Source organism: Homo sapiens, chromosome 2 (assembly GCF_000001405.40).
Source record: "Homo sapiens chromosome 2, GRCh38.p14 Primary Assembly".
In the NCBI taxonomy this organism is placed as follows: domain Eukaryota; kingdom Metazoa; phylum Chordata; class Mammalia; order Primates; family Hominidae; genus Homo; species Homo sapiens.
The window spans coordinates 232,690,618-232,714,227 of NC_000002.12; the positions used below are offsets into that span (position 1 = coordinate 232,690,618).

General features: G+C 43.6%; 1 protein-coding gene across 7 annotated transcripts in view, besides 4 other annotated features; it reads left to right on the forward strand.

Annotated features, from left to right (window-relative positions):
• Positions 6,521–7,217: an enhancer, noted in NCBI's record as "H3K27ac hESC enhancer chr2:233561848-233562544 (GRCh37/hg19 assembly coordinates)". NCBI's record gives its function as "activates a minimal SCP1, AML or CMV promoter by ChIP-STARR-seq in naive and primed H9 embryonic stem cells {active_cell/tissue: H9 hESC(naive and primed)}" and the evidence as "EXISTENCE:reporter gene assay evidence [ECO:0000049][PMID:30033119]".
• Positions 6,567–6,656: a silencer, noted in NCBI's record as "silent region_12462". NCBI's record gives its function as "represses an Ori minimal core promoter by ATAC-STARR-seq in GM12878 lymphoblastoid cells {active_cell/tissue: GM12878}" and the evidence as "EXISTENCE:reporter gene assay evidence [ECO:0000049][PMID:35858748]".
• Positions 6,687–7,016: a silencer, noted in NCBI's record as "silent region_12463". NCBI's record gives its function as "represses an Ori minimal core promoter by ATAC-STARR-seq in GM12878 lymphoblastoid cells {active_cell/tissue: GM12878}" and the evidence as "EXISTENCE:reporter gene assay evidence [ECO:0000049][PMID:35858748]".
• The window catches only part of GIGYF2 (GRB10 interacting GYF protein 2), a 163,275-nt gene continuing 146,378 nt past the window's right edge, over positions 6,714–23,610 (forward strand). For 5 of the 7 annotated variants that reach the window (NR_103493.2, NR_103494.2, NR_103495.2 and 2 more), the window contains exons 1-3: positions 6,714–6,775; positions 9,968–10,037; positions 12,807–12,872. The gene's annotated coding sequence lies outside the window, so the exon portion shown is untranslated. The remainder of the gene's footprint in view (positions 6,776–9,967; positions 10,038–12,806; positions 12,873–23,610) is intronic. The other 2 variants (NM_001103146.3, NM_001103148.2) reach the window with 2 other exon arrangements.
• Positions 7,218–7,912: an enhancer, noted in NCBI's record as "H3K27ac hESC enhancer chr2:233562545-233563239 (GRCh37/hg19 assembly coordinates)". NCBI's record gives its function as "activates a minimal SCP1, AML or CMV promoter by ChIP-STARR-seq in naive and primed H9 embryonic stem cells {active_cell/tissue: H9 hESC(naive and primed)}" and the evidence as "EXISTENCE:reporter gene assay evidence [ECO:0000049][PMID:30033119]".

Sequence of the window (23,610 nt, forward strand, 5' to 3'; positions counted from 1 at the left end):
TCCAATATTAGGAACTACAATTCAACATAAGATTTGGGTGGGGACACAGAGCCAAACCATATCACTATGTCTCTACCCAAGTAGACTGTAAGCTTTATGAGGTGGGTGATCAGGTGGATTTGGGGGCAACCATTGAATCTCCAACACTTAGTGGTACTGAGAATGAAGGAAAATGCCATACTTGTTTTTTTGATTGTTTGTTTGTTTTTGAGACAGAGTTTTGCTCTTGTTGCCCAGGCTGGAGTGCAGTGGCATGATCTTGGCTCACCACAACCCCCGCCTCCTGGGTTCAAGCGATTATCCTGCCTCAGCCTCCCGAGTAGCTGGGATTACAGGCATGCACCACCATGCCCAGCTAGGTATTTTTTTTGTTGTATTTTTAGTAGAGACAGAGTTTCTCCATGTTGGTCAGGCTGGTCTTGAACTCCCAACCTCAGGTGATCCACCCGCCTCAGCAGGCATGAGCCACTGCGCAGAGCCCTTTTTTTTTTTTTTTCACTCTGTTGCCCTGGCTGGAGTGCAGTGGCACGATCTCGGCTTACCGCAACCTCTGCCTCCCAGGTTCAAGTGATTCTCCTGCCTCAGCCTCCCGAATAGCTGGGATTACAGGTGCCTGCCACCACGCTCAACTAATTTTTGTGATTTTAGTAGAGACGGGGTTTCATCATATTGGTCAGGCTGGTCTCGAACTCCTGACCTCAGGTGAGCCACCCGCCTTGGCCTCCCAAAGTGCTGGGATTAAAAGTGTGAGCCACCGCGCCTGGCTGGAAAATGCCGTACTTGTTAATGCATGCAACATTTTTGGGGAGACCACACAAGAAATTGATGGAAGGAGAACCTGAGGGTGCTAGATAGGTCTTGCGGCAGGGAGGATTTAAATTTTTTCCTTTATACGTTTTTGAACTCTAAAAACTATAAAACCATAAACATGTATTGCTTCAGTACTACAATGACTACTACTACCACCACCACCACCACCACCACAATTGTTAATAACTATTAATAAAAAAGAGAGGGGGCTGGGTGTGGTGGCTCACGCCTGTAACCCCAGCACTTTGGGAGGCCAAGGTGGGTGAATCACCTGAGGTCAAGAGTTTGAGACCAGCCTGGCCAACATGGTGAAACCCTGTCTCTACTAAAAATACAAAAATTATCCAGGCATGGTGGCACACGCCTGTAATCCCAGCTACTAGGGAAGCTGAGGCAGGAGAATTGCTTGAACCCTGGAGGTGGAGGTTGCAGTGAGCCAAGATCATGCCACTGCACTCCAGCCTGGGCAACAGAGTGAGACTCCATCTCAAAAATAAATAAATAAATAAATAATAAATTAAAAAGAGAGGGGAATGTCTGGCCACAAAGAAAACAAGAAGAGCAGTTGAACATTCATGTGGGAACCCTCTGGGACAGCAGAACTATGAAACCCTAAAGATGGAAAATACTCAGATAAAAATTAATAACATTTTGGGATGCATCATGGGACATCAGGTGAAATGATACATTTATTGTATTCCAAGGTTTTTTAAAAAAATGATTTAATGTCTCATACATTCAGAAGTTGGAAATGAGAAAAGAATTAAAAATATGCAATTACTTTTATAATAAAAACGTTTTTCAAACATAGAAAATGGATTTCTTTTCATAGTTATTGTCTGCATAGCCTTTCTTGTTTGTTCAGTTCTCTGGTACAATTATCTTTTTTTTTTTTTCCACCCAGGCTGGAGTACAGTGGCATAATCATAGCTCACGACATCATCAAACTCCTGGACTCAAAAGATCCTTCCACCTCAGACTCCCAAGTAGCTGAAACTACAGGTGTGTTCCACCACACCCGGCTAATTTAAAAACATTCTCTTTATTTATTTAGAGACAGTCTTGCTCTGTTGCCCAGGCTGGAGTGCAGTGGCACGATCTCGGCTCACTGCAACCTTCGCCTCCCACGTTCAAGCGATTCTTACGCCTCAGCCCCCAAGTAGCTGGGATTACAGGCTCGCACCACCACGCCTGGCTAATTTTTGTATTTTTAGGAGAGACGGGGTTTCCCCATGTTGGCCAGGCTGGTCTCAAACTCCTGGCCTCACTAAGTGCTGGGATTACAGGCGTAAGCCACTGTGCCTGGCCTAAAAACATTTTTTTTTTTTAGAGATGAGGTCTTACTATGTTGCCCACACTGGTCGGGAACTCCTGGCCTCAAGCAATCCTCCTGCCTCAGCCTCTCAAGTAGCTGGCATTAGAGGTGCGAGCCATCTGCACCAAGCATGGGGAACACAGTTCAATCCATAACAATGATGTTCCAGCTACTGTTGCTATTAACAAATTACCCCAAAACATAGTGGCTTAAAACACCCATTTTATGATGCTGATGGATTTGGTGGATCAGGAATTCAGAGAAGGCACAGTAAGGATGCTTGTCCCTGCTTCATGATGTCTTAGGCTTTGATGTCTGAGGGTGACTAGACAGCTCAGGGCTGGGATCACCTGGTGAGATTTTTCACTCAGACGTCTGGTTGTTGATGCTGTCAGCTGGGACCTCAGTTGGGGTTAGTGATGGGACAACAATGTGGGCCTCTCCATGTGGTTTACGCTTCAGGCAGCTTCAGGGACTGCCAAACTGTTTTTGCTTCAAACAAGACTGTTTCAGGAAGCAAGGTGAAAGGCATATCACCTCATGATCTAGCACTGAAGTCATGTCATTTTACTTCTACCACTTTCTATTGGTGATAGGGTCCAAGGGACTGGGAATTAGACTCTACCTCTAGAAAGGATAGTGAAGGTGCTAGAAAAGTAAGTCAAATGGAAGATATTGTTGCAGCCATCTTTAGAAAAATACAATCTGTCACAGGTGATGACCCCTGGCAATTTTTTTTTTGAGACAGGATCTTGCTGTGCTGCCCAGGGTGGAGTGCAGTGGTGTGATCCCAGCTCACTGCAGCCCTGACCTCCCAGGCTCAAGCAATCCTCCCGCCTCAGCCTCCCAACGTGCTGGGATTACAGGTGTGAGCCACCTCGCCTAGCTATGTGCTCATAACAAATTAAACTTGTTTTGGATTAAACTCCTTACCCTCCTCCCATCCTCAAATGATCTATTATTCTCAACTTCTGTTTCTATCAGTGGTGTACTACGGCTAAAACTTTATTATCCCTGACAAAAGCATGCATCAGTCTACGTTGTAATTTAATACCACTATTTAGTGAAACACTGGAAAGACAGAGTTACTAAAAGGAGAAAAGGAAAGCACCCTTCCTGAAGAGTAGATAATCAAGAATCGATTGGGTTTTATTGGTGTTTGTTGAGCATTTACTGTGTGTCAGGGCAATACCAGCTGCAGAGGTTGCTGGATGGAATAATGCAGCACTCACAATGGTTAAAAGCTGGGATTTTCTCCAGCTTTTTTTTTTTTTTTTTTTTTTGAGACAGGGTCTCACTCTATCACCCAGGCTGGAGTGCAGTGGCACACAATCTCAGTTCACTGTAACCTCTGCTTCCCAGGCTCGAGTGATCCTCCCACCTCAGCCTCCCAAGTAGCTGGAACTACAGTTCTACATTATCATGCTCAGCTACTTTTTTTTGTATTTTTAGTAGAGATGGGGTTTCACCATGTTGGCCAGGCTGGTCTTGAACTCCTGAACTCAGGTGATCTGACTGCCTCAGCCTCCCAAAGTGCTGGTATTACAGGCGTGAGCCATCGTGCCTGGCCACTTGTATATATTTGTCTCAAGTTGCAGAACTGTGCACTAAAAGTGCTAAATTTTATTGTGTGCAAATTATATCTTAATTTAAAAAATATATGTATAGGCAATGTACAGGTGGCATGGCATCAGAGAGGTGGCATGACAAGTTGGTTAGGGACATGGGTTCTACAATTTGCCAGCCTGGGCTTGGAAATCCTGGTTGAGATTTGGATATGGTAAGCACTTCTCTCAGAAGCCTGGTTGGATTGCTCCATAGCGCTCTTACTAGGATCACATGAGACAGTGCAAGGAAAGTTTTTAATGGGGTGGTCAGTACATAACAAGTATTAGTATTACTTTTTTCCTTAAAAATAACAGCTCAAGGGGTAAATTCTTTGGTCTAATGGAGGCACAGAGGCAGTAACACATGGACTGGCAGGAGTTGCAGGTTGGGGAGAAGTGGGTAAGTGTTGGGAACGGCATTGCAGCAGGATGGAACAGCATGTGCAAAGGCTAAAACATAATGTCATGTTTACGAATCTTTTAACATGGGCCTATCTGGAGCACTTAGTTCAGGGGGAAGATCAAGGAGAAGAGAACAACATGGATGATGGGTAGAGTTCTTTTTGATTGTTTGTTTTAGATACAGGGTCTTGCTCTTTTGCCCAGGCTGGAGTGCAGTGGCATGATCATAGCTCATTGTAGCTTTGTATTCCTGGGCTGGTGATCCTCAGCCTCCCAAGTAGCTAGGACTGCAGGTGCACGCCACCACGCCTGGCTAATTATTATGTATTTATTTTTTTTTAGAAATGGGATCTCTCTATGTTTTCCCAAGCTATGGGGGTAGAATTCTGCAGAATGGGACTGTGAAGGGCTCCTTTGAGTTTCTGTATTTCTAACAAGTCTCCACGTGATGTTGATGCTACTGTACCACTTTGAGCGGTAAGGGTATAAAAGTCAAGGGAAGAAAGTGTTTCAGAAGGCCGGGAGCGGTGGCTCATGTCTGTAATCCCAGCACTTTGGGAGGCCGAGGTGGGCGGATCACCTGAGGTCGGGAGTTCAAGACCAGCCTGATCAATATGGAGAAACCCCGTCTCTACTAAAAATACAAAATTAGCCGGGCGTGGTGGCATATGCCTGTAATCTCAGTTACTTGGGAGGGTGAGGCAGGAGAATCGCTTGAACCTGGGAGGCGGAGGTTGCGGTGAGCGGAGATCACGCCATTGCACTCCAGCCTGGGCAACAAGAGCGAAACTGTCTCAAAAATAAATAAATAAATAAATAAAGTGTTTCAGAAAGTAGGAAGAGGCCAATCATATTGAAGACAGGGAAACACGAAGTCAAGATGAGGACTGAAAGACTCCAGTTATCAACCTGTAGGATGGGGTGTTCTTAGGGCAAGCAATAGGCAGATAGGAAAGGACAGAAGCCACATCGGTGTGGTTGATGATTGCATGCCAGGTGTGGAAATGGAGAAAGTGCATATAAACAATTCTTTGGTGCAGCTTGGCTTTGAAAGGGAACAGGGTCGCAGGAGGGAGAATTGGTGTTTTTGATTGTTTGTTTGTTTATTTGTTTTTTTCGAGACGGATTTTCACTCTTGTTGCCCAGGCTGGCGTGCAGTGGCGCGATCTTGGCTCACCGCAATCTCAGCATCCCGGGTTCAAGCGATTCTCCTGCCTCAGCTACCCAAGTAGCTGGGATTACAGGCATGCGCCACCACGCTCGGCTAATTTTGTATTTTTAGTAGAGACGGGGTTTCTCCATGTTGGTCAGGCTGGTCTCAAACTCCCAACCTCAGGTGATCCGCCGCCTCGGCCTCCCAAAGTGCTGGGATTACAGGCGTGAGCCACTGCCCGGCCGAGAATTGGAGGTTTTTGTTTTTGTTTTAGACGGAGTCTTGCTCTGTCGCCAGGCTGGAGTGCAGTGGCGCGATATCGGCTCACTGCAACGTCTGCCTCCCCAGTTCAAGCGATTCTCCTGCCTCAGCCTCCCGACTAGCTGCGACTGCAGGTGCGTGCCACCACGCCCGGCTACATTTTTTTTTGTATTTTTAGTAGAGACGGGATTTCACCGTGTTAGCCAGGATGGTCTGGTCTCGATCTCCTGACCTCGTGATCCGCCCACCTCCGCCTCCCAAAGTGCTGAGATTACAGGTGTGAGCCACTGCGCCCGGCATGAGAATTGGAGTTTTTAACATTCCATTTTAAGATGGGAGACACAAGTAATCTTTAAAGCTGACAGGAAGGATCCTGTAGGAAGGAAGAAGTTGGAGACACAGGCAAGAATGGGATGCCTAAGGATAGAGTTGCTAGATTTAGCAAACACAGGACGCCCAATTAAATTTGAATTTCAGAAAAACAACGAACAATTTTTCAGTGTGTGCCCCAAATATTGCTGGGTGTCTTGTATTTTATCTGTCAATTCCAAAATAGTTCATCTCTAGGTAAAAGGGTTATAGCCCCAGATGTCCTAGGAAGGAATCAGAGCTCTCAAGTCCTTTCCAGCTGTCCCAGTACAACACTCTGAAATGAATTCCCAGTTCTACCAGAACTGTTAACAAGTAGAGAAACTGCTTTGAATTTCAGCTTTTGCGGCTTTCCCATTCGCTCTAGGATGGCAACTGCGAAGAAAAATGCCGGACTAAAAGCTGTGGAAAAGTTCTAATTTGGAAAACCAGCCCGCAAGTGATGCAGAGGCTTTTGAACTGCAAAAGAGCTCTGGGCGTACAGGACAGTGAGTCACACGGTGCCTGGTCCGGGCCCAACCCTGGACACCAACACCACTCAACTCAAGGGCAGGTACCCGGCTGCTGCCAAGGGGTCAGCGGGAGCCTGCGCACTGCCACGGCCCCGCCCTCTTCCAACCTTTCATCCGGGTCTCGGGCAGGGGCGTGTCTGGGCAGAGGGGCGGGTGGTGGCGGAAAGGAAGGATGTCGTGGGAGACTGGAGAGTGGGGAGGGAAGCGGGAAGGGGCGGGGGCGGAGCAGGGGGCGTGGCGGAGCGGGAGCGCGGTCACGTGACGTGCGTGGCGACGTGTCGGCCATCTTGTGTTGTTGAGGCTGAGGACTGACTGGGGTTCTGAGACTCCCTGTCCCGGACCGCAGGTAACCAGCCGTTCCGTGTCGCTCCCCTGCCCGGCTCTGCTCCGCGCCCCGGCCCCGCCGCCGCGTCCCGGGCCGCCTGTGTCTCCGGTCCGCGTTCGCGCCCCTGCTCCTCCTGCCCGAGCTGGCCCGGCCGCATGGACACCCACAGGCCGCTCCGGCCGGCTTGGGCCGTCAGGCGACGGGACAGGTCAGGTGCAGGGCCGGAGGGAGCCTCCTCCTGGGCGAGGGGCGCTGAGGGCCCTGGCGCGTCACGGCCGCGAGGAGCCGAGAAGCCCCTAGGCCAGGGCCTCTTGGCATTGCGAGGGGAGCCGAACAAGGCAGGAGGGTTGTGGGGTGGGCAGTGTCAGGCCGGCTTGCTCGGAGCTGGAGGGCTCGCCTTCCTCTGCTTGCTTCTCCGCGCCAGACACCCGCCCAGTCTCGGGGTGGCCCGGTAACAGCTGCTGCGGCCAGACAGCTGCTCCTGCCGGCTCTCCTGTCCACACCTGGTCCCTGGGAGGTGCGCTCCTGCCTTCCCCACAGAGCATCTGGACGGAGGAGACTCCTTCCGTGGCGAGAGTACTGGGTCTGGACCAGGCCTGAGGCGAGGTGCAGCCACCATGATCGGAACCTTGGGACCGAGGCTGGGAAACTAGAGCCCATGGCAGCCTTGGGGACCCAAATGTTCACATCAGGTTGAAATGGGCATTATCCTTAAGTGTCAGTTTCCAAAAGCACTCTGAATACTTGTTTTGCGACTGAAACATAAATCAAGCGAACAGGGAATGGGGGCATGAAAGAAGCGGAGCGTATGACCGTGTTTGGGAAGCAATAACGTTGTTTTGCAGTTAATTATTTAGTACTGTGTTTTTTATTTTGTTGTTTTCGTTTTCCTGCAAGTCAAAGCACTTAAACACACGTAGTCTCTCTGTAAGAAAGGTAAGTATTCCAGTTTAACTTGCAAGAAATTGAGTATGGGGCTAGAAGCTGTGAACAGCTTCCTTTCTAGAGCTACATACATTGAATTAAGGCAGTTTTGATTCCCAATGTTGTGCCTGGGGAAGGTATTCTTTCTTTATATAGTATGTCCTTTTTAGAATCAAATGACTTCCTAGATTAGAAAAAAAAATTCTGTCATTCTTTCTGTACATTAATTTTGCTCCTTCTAATATTTGTAGCTTTGGCCTTATTTTGTCCATTTTGCCTAGAACACAAATACTTTCTCTTATTCATTGATGGTTTTACGTGTTTTACTAGTTGGTGTAGCAGTTTCTGATGTGCTCAAACTGGAATATGTACTTGGCTTTTACATCAGATGTTGACAACAGAAGAGGACACTAGAAAAGTATTTAAAAGTGGCACGTAACTGGAAAAATGTCACATGATGTTTCTTTCGAAATTTAACATCAAGGAATACACTGGTGATGGTAGTGCTTCACCAGAAAGGAGAGGGCTTCATGACTTTTTGGTACCTGACAGCATTTGAGACTCTTGAGGTTTGGGAGGGAGAAGGAACCATGTGCTTCCATTCATTTGTTTATTCATTCATACATTCATTTATTTGACAGATACCCTGTTGAGCACTTACTACACTGTTAAGTACTGGGAGCAAAACAGACCAAACAATTCCTGTCTGTATGGAATTCATTTCTAGACAGATAAATAGGTAAAATACTTGATGTAGTGGTAAGCGATGTGAAAGAAAAAAATGAGTCAGGGAGATAGAATAATAGGGGTTTGGGGAGGGGTTAATTTTAAGTGCCCTGAGAAGGCCTCATGGAGAAGCTAACACTGGAGGAAAAACCCAACAGAGGTGAAGGTGCTGTTTCTTTAGCTATACTGGGGTAAAAGTGCTCTAGGCTAGGGAGCAGCAAGAGCAAAGACCCGGAGACAAAAGCTTAGGAGCGATTCAGGAGTAGACTGGGAAAAGCATGGAGGCTAGCCTAGGCTGAGAGGCTAGGGTGAGTGGGAGACTGGTGGGAGATGTGTGTACTTACTGTTTGGTACTAAGATGAGATGGATTATTTGCTATCCTGAATTCTTTTTTCTTATCTCTTGTGATTCTTGGAAAGGGAAATCAGATTCTGGAAATTTGGGCCAGCAGCCAGCCTCCCCAACCCCCTTAACTCCCATCCCCATCCGCTAATTTGGAAAAATTTAGGATGCTCAGTATTTCAGGAAATTATAATGAATTATCTTTCTCAAAAGTAAACGTTTTAAAATGAGATTGATGATAAACTGCTTGAAAGTACTTTTCAAAAGCAATTGCTTTACAAGAAGGAGGCTCTTTGGAGATTTCAGGATATTTGAAAATGTAGGGAAATTAGAAATTTTCCTTTCACATTTAGACACATGATTAAGGAACATACCAGGAAGAAAGGTGGAAACAATGTATTAACTCAAATTATCCTTAATCTGGTTAGTAAAGAATTTTTCTTAATACTGTGCTGTCCAGCCCGGAGACTCTTCCTCTAATTCATGTGTATATCCTTCACATTTTACACGTGTAGAACTTTTTGTGCTGAGTTTTTTATTCCTCCACTTTTACCTTTCAGACTAGTTGTCTAGTCTGATACTTAATAGACATATTTTTTTGCAAAAAACATTTTCTGATTTCCTTCCAGTTTATCTCCATATTCTTTTTACTGAGCTTTCATAAATGTCCTCTTTCATTTTAGTTCAGCTGAGGAATTTTAATATTTTGGTTTTGAAATGCTTTTGCTGGTGAGATGCATATGTGAAAAACACTTTGGAGTAGGTTTGCCTCAAAATCATGAGAAGATGGAAATTACAAGGTCAGTGTGTGAATGCAACTCCTTGGCTAAAAGGGAGGCATAGTGATGGTAGTGATGAGGTAGTGTTTTAACTAATTGCCTTTCTTCCTCTTGTTTTTCTATTGTGTTTTTGAAATGACATTTCCAAATTATGTCTTTGATGTCATATCAGCTCATTTGTTTTCATGACTCTGCATTTTAATACTCCATATTGTCTCTTCTCTTTTTGTTGACCTTCACATTGGAAGATGACACTGTTGATAGTGATTGCTATCTGGGAGAACCTTTTTGGGTAAAAAGATTACTACTGTCGCTTTTATGATTGCCCTTCTGTAGGATCTTTGACTTGTGCCATTTTCAAATTTTGACTTTGTTTGCAGTTCTCCATTAGCTCCTGCTGATTAAATTTCCCATACTTTCTGTTTTATTCTATTTCTTATAGATTATAGTGGGACCAGTCTCATTAGGTTGAATCTACAGCCTATGTTGGTGTTAACCCAGGTCTCTTAGAGGCAAGTTAAATGTCCATTTTCCTTCAGTTTAAATTACCATGGCATATTGTTTGGTCATTGTTGTAACAGTCTGAACTCAAGCTTTTTTTCACTGCTTGATTCCCACTAGGGTTTTGTGGTGATAAAGTCCTATGGTTTTTGCATGGGAGAGTATTTAAGAATAAAAGGAAAAATATATAAAATGAAAAAGAAATAGAAGTTTAAAATAAGATAAAAAAGTCCTAGAGTTTCCATTCATTTTTAATACTTTGAAAAATTACATCTCTTTAAAACTAGAGATTTTTATTTCATGTATAAACTTGCTTATAGTTAGCATTGCAGTGTTTCTTGACCAAATATTGTTTTTACATTTTATTCATGCTCTCAGATGAATGAGAAATATACTAAATTAATTATGTAGGAATGTAAAGTGATACCTTTATTGAATTGCCTATAGTTTTGTGTGAGGTTGAAAGCAGAAAGAGGTTTGAAAAACAAAGAATGTTCTCTTAATTGACCAAACTTCATTTTATAAAGGTATTTCAAAGTATTACATACTTCCCTACTTTAAGTAAATAAGGAACACAATTTTATATTTTCTTGTTAACTATGGGGTTTCATTAAGCTTAATTATTATTATTATTTGAGATGGAATCTCACTGTGTTGCTCAGGCTACAGTGCAGCGGCCTGATCTTGGCTCACTACAGCCTGTGATAGAGCAAGACCCTGTCTCCTGGGGGTTTGGGGTTGCAGTGAGCCGTGATTGCACCGCTGCGCTCCAGCCTAGGTGATAGAGCAAGACTTTCTCCAAAAAAGACAGGGTCTTGCTCTGTCACCTAGGCTGGAGGGCAGCGGTGCAATCACCACTGACTGTAACCTCAATCTCCCAGGCTCAAGCCATCCTCCCACCTCAGCCTCCTAAGTAACTGGGATTATAGGTCCATGCCACCACATCTGGCCAATATTTTTTGTAGAGATGGGGTCTCACTATGTTGCCTAGGCTGGTCTTAAACCTCTGGTCTCAAGTGATACTCCCGCTTCAGCTTCCCAAAGTGTTGAGATTATAGGCATGAGCCACTGTGCCCCACCAAGAATGCAATTTGAGAAAGTCACATCCACTTCTGATTTAATTTTGCAAAAAAAGTAGCCATGTTATAATGTCCAAAGGTCATCCAACTTTACCCACTGAACTGTGTAATTTTTTAAGGGCAGGAGGAAAGGGAAGAAGAAATGGATAATAAACTCTTCTTTGGCTGGGTGCAGTAGTTTACACCTATAATCCCGGCACTTTGGGAGGCTGAGGTAGGAGGATCACTTGAGCCATGAGACCAGCCGGGGCAACAGAGAGAGACCCCCATCTCTAAAAAAGATTTTTAAAAAATTAGCTGAGTATGGTGGTGCACGCCTGTAGTCACAGCTACTCAGGAGGCTGAGCCCAGGAGGTCAAGGCTACAGTGAGCTCTGATTGTACCACTACACTCCAGCTGAGGGAACAAAGCAAGATCCCATTTTGAAAATAACTGGCCGGGTGCAGTGGCTCATGCCTGTAATCCCAGCACTCTGGGAGGCTGAGGTGGGTGGATCACTTGAAGTCAGGAATTTGAGACCAGCCTGGCCAACATGGCAAAACCCTGTGTCTACTAAAAATACAAAAATTAGCTGGGCATGGTGGTGCACACTTGTAATCCTAGCTTCTCGGGAGGCTGAGGCAGGAGACTTGCTTGAACCTGGGAGGCGGAGGTTGCCTTGAGCCCAGATCGTGCCACTGCACTCCAGCCTGGGCAACAGAACGAGACTCTGTCTCCAAAAAAAGAAAAAAAACTCTATCTGTCTCTATCTAGTTGCTTTCCTGTAGTTAATGAAATTGTCAACTTTAATTGTTAATTATTGTTCTTTGACTTGTTAGTAGCAGTAAAGCATCATTTGATTTTAGCCAAGAAACTATTTGAAGATACTATACTTCAATTCACTCTTGTCACTTGGAATATCACCAACTTATGGATTTTTAAGATATTGCCCCAACAGAGCATTAAAGGCAGGTTGTGATTTTGCACACTTGGAGCTTTGCTCCCTGGACATTTTGGCAATGATCATATTTCTGAGGGCTCAGTGATTATTTGCATAGGATGCATATTGCTGTGATGCGGCTTTTGTTTTTCTGTTAGATATATATTTTTTGAGATAAGGTCTCACTCTGTCACCCAGGCTGGAGTGCAGTGGTACAGTTGCAGCTCACTGCAGCTTTGACCTCCCTGGGCTCAGGTGATCCTCCTACCTCAGCTTCCCGAGTAGCTGGGACTACAGGCATGTGCCACCATGCCTGGCTAATTTTTGTAGAGGTGGGGTTTTGCCATGTTGCCCAGGCTGGTCTTGAATTCGTGGGCTCAATCGATCACCTTCCTTGGCCTTCCAAAGTGTTAGGATTACAGGCATGACCCACTGTGCCTGGCAGTAGGTTTTAAAAGTTAATACCAAGTCCCTATAATGGGGTTTTGAATGAAAACCCCAAATAATGACTTCCCTGAAACCCCATGGTGGTCTTCATTTGACAGCTTCATAAGAATCACTTAGGACTTTTGTTAAAAAATATAGTTTTCAGTCCCACTGTAGAACTACTGAGACTTTCTAGATGTTAGGGAACCTAGTTTATAAATACACCAGGTGATCTACTCTTTTAACCAGGTTTGGAAGCCATTTTCTGCAAAGTATATTTATGATGAAAGATTGTACTTTTAAAGTTTCCTAAGAGGTTGCTGGGTGATTTATATTAATATTTTTATTATTTACAGCGTTAAAAGGATCTGAACAAAGTCTGCTCAAATCTCCTGCTGTGAACCAGCAGAATTTTTGAACAGGTAAGTGTGGAAGGGAAGCACAAAGCCTGAGGGCTTTTGCAAATAGGTAATTTCTGCTTTTAGGTTTTAGTTATTTTTGCCCTATTATTTCTCCTGAGGTTTTGGGTAGTGAGAAGAAACTTCTTCCCTGGTGCCTGTCAGATCCTTTATGAACAGTAAGAGTAACATACCCTTTCTGCATTGACCCTGGTGTGAATTTGTGTCTTAAACTGTCATAATAATTTTTTGTTGGCAAGAAACAAGGAGGAATGCTTTGGAGGCAGGAGTACTGTAAAGAACCAAAGAGCAGTTGACTTCATGAGGGACATGAACCAGAAACTGGGAAGCTTTCAGGAGCCATAGTACTTGTAGATAGCACTTTTTTACCAGCTGGCCAGTGTCCTCTCTTGTCTCTTTTTGTCCTGCTTTAATTGTATTTGTGCAGTCTGGCCTTTTCTGCTTTAACAAACACAAACTCATGGTAGCAAATGGCCACTTAATTCTTGGAGCCACATATGAACTTAGGCTCTAGTGCCAGTAGCCAATTGATGCTAGCACAGTGTTCACATTTCATATTCTTGGGAGGGGGAAATTTGGCTGGTTGAACTTGGTTCGGTTCTTTGTCATTGATCACATTAGTTATGGACATAGGGTTGGAGTCTAGAAGTGCAAGCACAGTTAGCTGAAAGGTCCCACTCCTAATGGTGGGGGCAGGTCTCAGAGAAGGTAGAATGGTGACTATTCTAGGTGGACTCCCAGAGAAGCTTCTGGACATTTTTCCTTTTCTAGCATTCTAGGAAAATGTCCTGTGTATAGCTCTGCAGTTTCGATTTATCTGTTCTAAAGAGTTAACGTACATGCCTATCTATCTTTTGGTGAACGAGGCCAGTAGGTCTCACCAAGCATTCTTGTTGAAATTTATTAGTGCTGTTTTTTGTTTGTTTGTTTGTTTTTTAGACAGAGTCTTGCTCTGTCGCCTGGGCTGGAGTGCAGTGGCATGATGTCAGCTCACTGCAGCTTCTGTCTCCCAGGTTCAAGTGATTCTTGTGCCTCAGCCTCCTGAGTAGCTGAGATTACAGGTATTCGCCACCACACCCAGCTAATTTTTAGTAGAAATGGGGTTTTGCCGTGTTGGCCAGGCTGGTGTTGAACTTCTGGGCCCAAGTGATCCACCTGCCTTTGCCTCCCAAAGTGCTGGGATTACAGGTGTGAGCCACCACATATGGACTTCTTAGTGCAGTTTTTAAACGAAAATTCTTGGTTTTGGAGGTTCAGAGGAGTGGCTGGGTAAAGGTTTAGCAAGCAGACATAAGCAAAGGAGAAGTTTCATGTGGAAAATTTCATTGGTTATTTCCATTGATTGTTTTTTATAAATTTTAACTTCTGGATTTTTTTTTTTTTTTTTTTTTGAGACAGAGTCTCGCTCTTTCGCCCAGGCTGGAGTGCAGTGGCGCGATCTCTGCTCACTGCAAGCTCCGCCTCCCGGGTTCACGCAATTCTCCTGCCTCAGCCTCCCAAGTAGCTGGGATTACAGGTGCCCGCCACCACGCCCGGCCAATTTTTTGTATTTTCAGTAGAGACGGGGTTTCACCGTGTTAGCCAGGATGGTCTCGATCTCCTGACCTCGTGATCCGCCTGCCTCGGCCTCCCAAAGTGCTGGGATTACAGGCGTGAGCCACCGCGCCCGGCCAACTTCTGGATATTTTTTATAGTATTAAGCTACACTTGAGTATTAGGAAGCCATATAGAATTCGCAGGGTCCAACTTCATAGACTCTATTCACATTATTAGAGTAGTAGTGGGGACCGTTACTTTTGGGAAAGGATCAGTGAGACAGTATAAACTTTTGAAATAATACATTTTTGTATTCCAGAATTATTAGATAATACTAAAGCAAACTTTTTTAATGGAACATTTTGAAGTCCTGTGTATTTATTTTTATTTTTTTATTTTTGTTGAGACAGAGTTGCACTCTTGCTGCCGAGGCTGGAGCACAATGGCGTGATCTCGGCTCACCACATCCTCTGCCTCCTGGGCTCAAGCAGTTCTGCCTCAGCCTCCCGAGTAGCTGGGATTACAGGCATGCGCCACCACACCCCGCTAATTTTGTATTTGTAGTAGAGACAGGGTTTCTCCATGTTGGTCAGGCAGGTCTCAAATTCCCGACCTCAGGTTATCCGCCCGCCTTGGCCTCCCAAAGTACTGGGATTACAGGCGTGAGCCACCGTGTGTGGCCTTTATTTTTATTTTTTGAGATGGAGTTTCACTCTTGTTGCCCAGGCTGGAGTGCAATGGCACGATCTTGGCTCACTGCAACCTCCGTTTCCTGGGTTCAAGCGATTCTCCTGCCTCAGACTCCCGAGTAGCTGGGATTGCAGGTGTGTGCTACCACACCCGGCTAATTTTTTGTATTTTTAGTAGAGACAGGGTTTCACCATGTTGGCCAGGCTGGTCTGGAACTCCCGACCTCAGGTGATCCACTTACCTCGGCTTCCCAAAGTGCTGGGATTACAGGCATGTGCCACCACACCCAGCCCGTTTATTATTGTTTGTAGCTCATATATACTTGGTGACATCTAATTGCTTAACTAATATTTCATTACTTACATTTTGCTATATTAGTATGTCTAGATTTTTGATGCAAAGGCTAGGAATTAATAAAAGTGATTTATTAATGAGTGATATGTCTAATGACAGCCCACAGATGTGACTTATGTTACTTTTTTTCAGCCAGGGTTGTTTTTAGCAGATTGTAGCTGAATTCATTTTTAAGGTAGAAGAGTTCTTTCTCATATTGTACATTTTCTTAAATCTGGGTGTTGACATAAGACATATGCAGAGCTTTGTGAGGTTTAAAAGGATTTCTGCATAATTTGTGTAAAATTGTCATGGGCTGAGCACAGCGTGGCTTACATCCGTAATCCCAGCATGTTGGGAGGTTGAGGCTGGAGGATCACTTGAGCCCAGGAGTTCAAAACTAGTCTGGGAAACAGGGAGATCATGTCTCTATGAAAATAAAAAAGTTTGGCTGGGGCGTGGTGGCTCACGCCTGTAATCCCATCCATTTGGGAGGCTGAGGCAGGCGGATCACTTGAAGTCAGGAGTTTGAGACCAGCCTGACCAACACGGCGAAACCCTGTCTCTACTAAAAATACAAAAATTAGCCGGGTGTGGTGGCACGTGCCTGTAGTCTCAGCTACTTGGGAGGCTGAGACAGAACATAATCTCTTGAACATGAGAGGTGGAGGCTGCAGTGAGCCGAGATTGAGCCACTGCACTCCAGCCTGAGTGACAGAGCAAGACTCTGTCTCAAAAAATAAATAAATAAATAAAAATAAATAATTAGCTCGGTGTGGTAATGCATGCCTTGGTCCCAGTTACTTGGGAGGCTCCCTTAGGCCTGGGAGTTTGAGGCTGTACTGAGCCGTGATTGCACCACTGCATCCCTACCTGGGTAACAGAGCAAGACCTTGTCTCAAAAAAAAAAAAAAAAAAAAATTTTTTTTTTCACAGGATCTAGGGAATCCCTCTGTGGAAAAAATGGCTTATGGTAAAATTCTCAAATGATGTGGCAATGTTGATGGCATTGTAATTTTTCCTAAAATATTTTGGTTTTGCTAATTTTATTCTTTTCACTAAAAGGAGGAAGAAAGGAGAAGGAGAAATGTTTATATTGTTCAGAAACAGTAGGAAGAATGATAGTAAAAGCAATACGTTTTCTTCCTGTAGTGATATTGTGGCTAGTATCTTCTTCGGGAACAAAGCGCCTTTTATTCAAATTCTCCTGGGCCAGGAGGAAGTCTTGGGAGCTCTGGTCTCTTCAGTATTGGTCCTTTGGTTATACAGACTGACAAGGAATTGGCAGAAGTTTGTGAGGTTTAAAATTCCTCCTGTACAACAAGAATTTGGTTGTACAGACTGACAAGGAATTGTCTTGGTACTTTCTACTTGATAAATCATGGCTTAGGTCTTAAAGAGTAGCCATATCCACGGGCTCTCATGATCAGTTTCTTGGGAACTGATGTGTGGTGCTGCTCAAACCATGACCAGATGTCTTCAGTGTAACTGGATTAGCAGCCGTCCTGCAAGATCAGTGAATCAGAGAGCCTTACTTTAGATCTGGAATCTGACCCTCTTCTTAGCTTTTTGTATTACTTCTACCATTGGGATTTTTTTTTTTTTTTTTTGAGACAGAGTTTCGCTCTTTCATCCAGGCTGGAGTGAAGTGGTGCCATCTTGGCTCACTGCAACCTCCACCCCCTGGGTTCAAGCGATTTTCCTGCCTCAGCCTCCCTAGTAGCTGGGATTACAGGTGCGTGCCACCATGCCCGGCTAATTTTTGTATTTTTAGTAGAGACTGGGTTTCACCATGTTGGCCAGGCTGGTCCCGAACTCTTGACCTCAGGTGATCCACCTGTCTTGGCCTCCCAAAGTGCTAGGATTATAGGTGTGAGCCACCATTCCCAGCCTTTTTGCATTTCTTTTTTTTAATTAAAAAAAATATTTTTTTTGAGACAAGGTCTTGCTCTGTCCCTCAGGCTGCAGTGCAGTGGTGTAGTCACAGCTCACTGCAGCCTCGACCTTCTCAGGCTCAGGTGATCCTCCCACCTCAGCCTCCTGAGTATAGGAGTACAGGCATACACCATTGCACATGGCTAATTTTTCTATTTTTGTAGAGACTGGTTTTTGCCATGTTGCCCAGGCTGGTCTTGAACTCCTGGACTCAAGCTATCCTCCCGCCTTGGTCTCCCAAAGTGCTAGGATTACAGGCGTGAGCCTCCATGTCCAGTATTTGCACCTTTATTAATGAAGTTTCCCATAATGTATTATAAGAACATACACTCTTCCTTAATTGAGGGCAGACTATGTTGTTTAATTGTGTGGTGCAACGGGTTGGGAGTTTGGGGACAGTGAACAGAATGGGAGATTGAGAAAGGGAAAGAAAAGTGACAATGTACAAAATGAATTCCTCTGAAAATTGCAAGGAACTGGAAAAAAAAAGCAATATTGAGTACCATATCAATATGTAGTGAAAAGCTTGAGGGCTTTTGAACAGAGAGATGTGGGTTTGATCTTTTGTCACTTGGCCAGGTGCAGTGGCTAACGTCTGTAATTCCAGCACTTGAAAGGCTGAGGCAGGTGAATTGCTTGAGTCCAGGAGTTGGAGACCAGCCTGGGCAACATGGCAAAACCTCATTTCTTTAAAAAAAAAAAAAAAAAAAAAGTAGCTGGGCATGGTGGCATGGGCCTGTAGTCCTAACTACAGCCTCACTGCAGCCTCTGCCTCCCAGGCTCAAGTGATCCTCCCATTGCACTCCAGCCTGGGTGACAGAATGAGACTCTGTCTCAAAAAAAAAAAATTTTTTTTTCTGGCCAGGTGTGGTGGCTCACACCTGTAATCCCAGCACTTTGGGAAGCCGAGGTGGGTGGATCACCTGAGGTCAAGAGTCAGGACCAGCCTGGGCAACATGGAGAATCTCCATCTCTACCAAAAATACCAAAATTAGCCGGATGTTGGTGGTGGGCACCTGTAATCCCAGCTACGCGGGAGGCTGTGGCATCAGAATCTCTTGAACCTGGGAGGTGGAGGTTGCAGTGAGCTGAGGTTGCACCACTGCACTCCAGTCTGGGTGACAGAGTGAGACTCCATTCCAAAAAAAGAAAAAAAAGTTACTTGTTACATGTAACTTTAGACAGGTTAGCCTTTTGGAGCCTAACTATCCTTATCTGTAAAGTATGTCCTGTGGTTATTGTATCCATGAAAAATCTAAATATAATACCTGGCATGCATTAAGTAGGCTCTCAGTGAATGGTGGCTTTTATGATTGCTATTACTATGTAAGTAGGTAAATTTTGATTGCAAAATTTCATCTTTTAAATTGGGTTTTCTTTTTAGATACAGGGTCTTGCTCTGTCATGCAGGCAGCTTGCTGCAGCCTAGAACTCCTGAGCTAAAGTGATTCTCGGGCTTCAGCCTCCTAAGTAACTGGGGCTATACGCGCGGCCCATCACACCAAGCCAATTTTTATTGCATTTTACTTTTTAAAATTTTTTCATAGAGGCCGGGCGCGGTGGCTCTTGCCTGTAATCCCCACACTTTAGGAGGCTGAGGCAGGTGGATCACGAGGTCAAGAGTTCAAGACCAGCCTGGCCAACATGGTGAAACCCCGTCTCTACTAAAAATATAAAAATTAGCCGGGTGTGGTGGTGCGGGCCTATAATCCCAGCTACTTGGGAGGCTGAGGCAGGAGAATCCCTTGAACCCGGGAGGCAGAGGTTTCAGTGAGCCGAGATTGCACCACTGCACTCCAGCCTGGGCAACAGAGCAAGACTCTGTCTTGGAGGAAAAAAAATTGTAGAGGTGAAGCCTTAAGCCTGGTCTTGAACTCCTGGGCTCAAGTGATCCTCCCGCCTTGGCTTCTCAAAGTGCTGGGATTAGAGATCTGAGCCACTGTGCCTGGGCTCCAGCTGATTTTTACAAAGTTATATATTTATTTATTTATTTATTTGAGATGGAGTCTTGCTTTGTCGCCCAGGCTGGAGTGCAGTGGCGTGATCTCAGCTCCATGCAAGCTCTGCCTCCCGGGTTCATGCCATTCTTCTGCCTCAGCCTCCAGAGTAGCTGGGACTACAGGCACCCGCCACCATGCCCAGCTAATTTTTTGTATTTTTAGTAGAGATGGGGTTTTACCATGTTAGCCAGGATGGTCTCGATCTCCTGACCTTGTGATCCGTCTGTCTCGGCCTCCCAAAGTGCTGGGATTACAGGTGTGAGCCACCGCGCCTGGCCTAAAAAGTTATTTTAAGAGGGGATCTCGCTATGTTACCTAGGCTGGTTTAGAACTCCTAGCCTCAAGCAATCCTCCCACCTTGGCCTCCCAAAATGCTTGAGATTACAGGTATCAGCTACCATACCAGCCATCTTTGTGCGTTTTGAATAGACATGTCAGTGAGTTCTGTCTGTGGGTCTTTTGTCTTTAAAAAAATTTAAACCCAGCAAATGTTTAATGATTGCCTTGTGCCAGGTGCTGGACTAGCCCTGGTGGTTGAGCAAAACACATATTGTTCTGTCTTCATAGGCTTTACAGCCCAGTGAGAGAGGCAGTCAAACAATCATTTAAGTAAAATCCAAAATGTGAAAAGTCTTTCTGTCCTTGGAAAACGTACAGTTTGAAAACACTAGATACTTTTTGAATAAGTGTCACATTTTGGATCTTGGTGTTCTTTTTTTTTTTTTTTTTTTTCTGGAGATGGAATTTCGCTCTTGTTTCCCTGGCTGGAGTGCAGTGGTGCGATTCTCGGCTCACTGCAACCTCCGTCTCCTGGGTTCAAGCGATTCTCCTGCCTCAGCCTCCCAGGTAGGTGGGATTACAGGCACCCATTACCATGTCCGGCTAACTTTTTGTATTTTTAGTAGAGACAGGGTTTCACTGTGTTGGCCAGGCTGGTCTCGAACTCCTGACCTCAGGTGATCCACCCACCTCAGCCTCCCAAAGTGTTGGGATTACAGGTGTGAACCACTGCGCCTGGCCAGATCTTGGTGTTCTTATTGTCAGTGATATTGTATGCCCTTTGATATGCTCTCTAGGGTATGTATGTATGTTTTAAGTTTATTTATGTGTTTTTTATTTGTTAATTTTTTTTTTTTTTAAAGACAGTGTCTTGGTCAGTCACCCAGACTCAAGTGTGGTGGTGTAGTCTTGGCTCCCTGAAACCTCTGCCTATCCTCCCACCTGTACCTCCTGAGTAGCTGGGACTCCAGGCGTGCCACCATGCCTGGCTAATCTTTTTTTTTTTTTTTTGTATTTTTTTATAGAGATAGGGTTTCACCATGTTGCCCAGGCTTTGTCATTTTTTCTTCTTTCTCTGAGGTAGATGTTAATCAACTTTTTGATCTTAGGATCTCTTTACCCTCTTAAAAGTTATTGAGGGCCCCAAAGAGCTTTTGGTTTTTTAGTTGTATCTATCATATCAAGAAATCTAAAAGGTATTAGTTTATTTAAAAATAACAAACTCATTACATGCTAACATAAATATATTTTTAATATGACATACCTATTTTCTAAAACATTTCTAAAAATTTGTTGATAAAATTGGCATTGTTTTACCTTTTTACAGATTTCTTTTATGTCTTGCTTTATAGAAGGCAACTGGGTTATATTTGCTTCTGCATTCAGTCTGTTGCTATTTATTACTTTGGTTGAAGTATATGAAGGAAAATTATCCTCACAATGATGTATATATATATATATATATATAGTTGTAATAGAATTTCAATAGCTTTTACAGATAATTGCAGATATTCTTTGATATTACACTAAAATTCAACCAGCAGTGTTTTTTTTCTTTTTTTGTATTTTTAATTTTTATCGCTTTACTTTAACACTGCATCACCAGGTAGTTTTTTTTTTTAAAGGTTAGTTGCAATATGAAATCCGAGTTATATCAATAGTTTGTCTTCTGTAAATATAAAATCCATTTGTCTATCTTCGATGTTGAATGGATATCTTACATTATACAGTATCAAAAAATCACTTTCATTGAAATCAGCACTTATCAGAAAAGCCTTTAAATATTGGAAAACTTTCTAACTCATGGTGACGAATAGAAACTTTCCAAAATTCCAATTTTTGCTTGAAAGGTCAAATTTTATAATTGGCAACAGGTACTCTGAATTGTTTTTGTTGAAGTCTCATTCATTTTGAAAAAAAAAGTCTGCTACATATCCTAGTCTGGACACCCATATTGTGTGCAGCTATTCTTTCAAGTCAAAATTATGTTCCGTGAAAAAAAGCAGCTAGTTGAGCTTGTAACCCAAAACAATTGCATTAAGTATCCTTCTACATGACTTTGTATGCAGTAGAAATGCATATTTCCCATTTCATCATGTAGAATATTAAAAAGATGTATTCCTAGGGATCAAGATTAATACAATTAATAGTTTTTATTCCCTCGTCATGGGCATTCGTAATAAAAGTGGCTTTTCCCCCCTCTCTCTTATGAGTACATGCCACATGGCAGTGAAGAATATAGTGACTGCTGGTACAGTTTGTTGCAATTAACTTCAGTCATGCTATAGTGCCAGCAGTTTTCCCCATCACTGCACAGTCTGTGCAAGTGTCAACACATTGAAAAATGCAAATAATATTTTGGTTTTTGCAATAGAAGATTCTCAAACTAGCAAATGAGATCACAATAGTATTTTATAATAGTATTATTAAAAAAACACATCATGGATGCCCTGAAAGAGTTTGGAGGTCCATAGATTGTACTTTGTAAACTGCTGCTTTGAGGAGTGGAACACGTTTCAATGTTACATTTATGTATGTTACATTGATTTTTTAAAAAACGATTTAAAAACATAAGTGTTTGAAATTGGAATAAACATATCACTGAAGGTTTTTAGATATTACTGAGTTTTTAGTGCTAAGTAGATAAGAGTTTGTTTATAAGTTAGGATGAGTTATAATTTTCTGCTATGAAGAAAATGTTCTATGAACCTCCACCATCCAGTACTATAACTACTAGCCAGTTGTGTCTGTTGAGCGCTTGAGATGCTACTAGCTGGTGTGACTGAGGAACTGCATTTTTAAAAAGTGTAGAAAAAACTTCTTTTTTTTTTTTTGAAGTGGAGTCTTGTTCTGTTTCACAGGCTGGAGTGCAGTGGCATGATCTCTGCTCACTGTAACCACCGCCTCTTGGGTTCAAGCTATTCTCCAGCCTCAGCCTCCCGAATAGCTGGGATTACAAGCACCCGCCATCATGTGCAACTGATTTTTTGTATTTTTTGGCAGAGACAGGGTTTCACCATGTTGGCCAAGCTGGTCTTGAACTCCTGACCTCAAGTGATCGGCTGACTTTGGCCTCCCAAAGTGCTGGGATTACAGGCATGAGCCACTGGGCCCAGCCTTAACTTCTAAATTTTAACTTTTTTTCTTTAATAATAGGCTTTAGTTTTTACAACAATTGTAGATTTACAGAAAATTGAGAAGATAGTGCGGAATTCCAGTTATTAACATCTTACATTACTATGGTACATTGTTATAATTAATAAACCAATGTTGATACATTGTCATTAATTAAAGTCCCTCATTTATTTACATTTCCTTAATTGTACCTAGTGTCTTTTTCTGTTTCAGAATTCCATCCAGGATACCATGTTATACCTAGTCATGCATCCTTAGGCTTCTTTAGCTATGACAGTTTCTCTTGTCTTTCCTTGTTTTTGATGACCTTGACAAGTTTGAGGAGTACTAGTTATTTTGTAGAATGACTCTCTTTTAGAATTTGATGTTTTTCATGATTAGACTGGGGTTATGGATTTTTAGAGGAAGATGACAAAGTGTCATTTTCATCATATTAAGAGTATATATGTCAGCATGATTTATCATCCTTGATGTTGACCTTCATACTTTGCTAGGTTTGTCCACTGTGAAGTTAGTTATTCCCCCTGGTGCCCTTGAGGAACTGATTTTTTTTTTTTCTCTTTTTTTTTTTTTGAGACGGAGTCTCGCTCTGTCACCCAGGCTGGAGTGTAGTGGTGCGATCTCGGCTCACTGCAAGCTACGCTTCCCGGGTTCATGCCATTCTCCTGCCTCAGCCTCCAGAGTAGCTGGGACTACAGGCACCCACCACCATGCATGGCTAATTTTTTTGTATTTTTTAGTAGAGACAGGGTTTCACCATGTTAGCCAGGATGGTTTCGATCTCCTGACCTCGTGATCCGCCCGTCTCGGCCTCCCAAAGTGCTGGGATTACA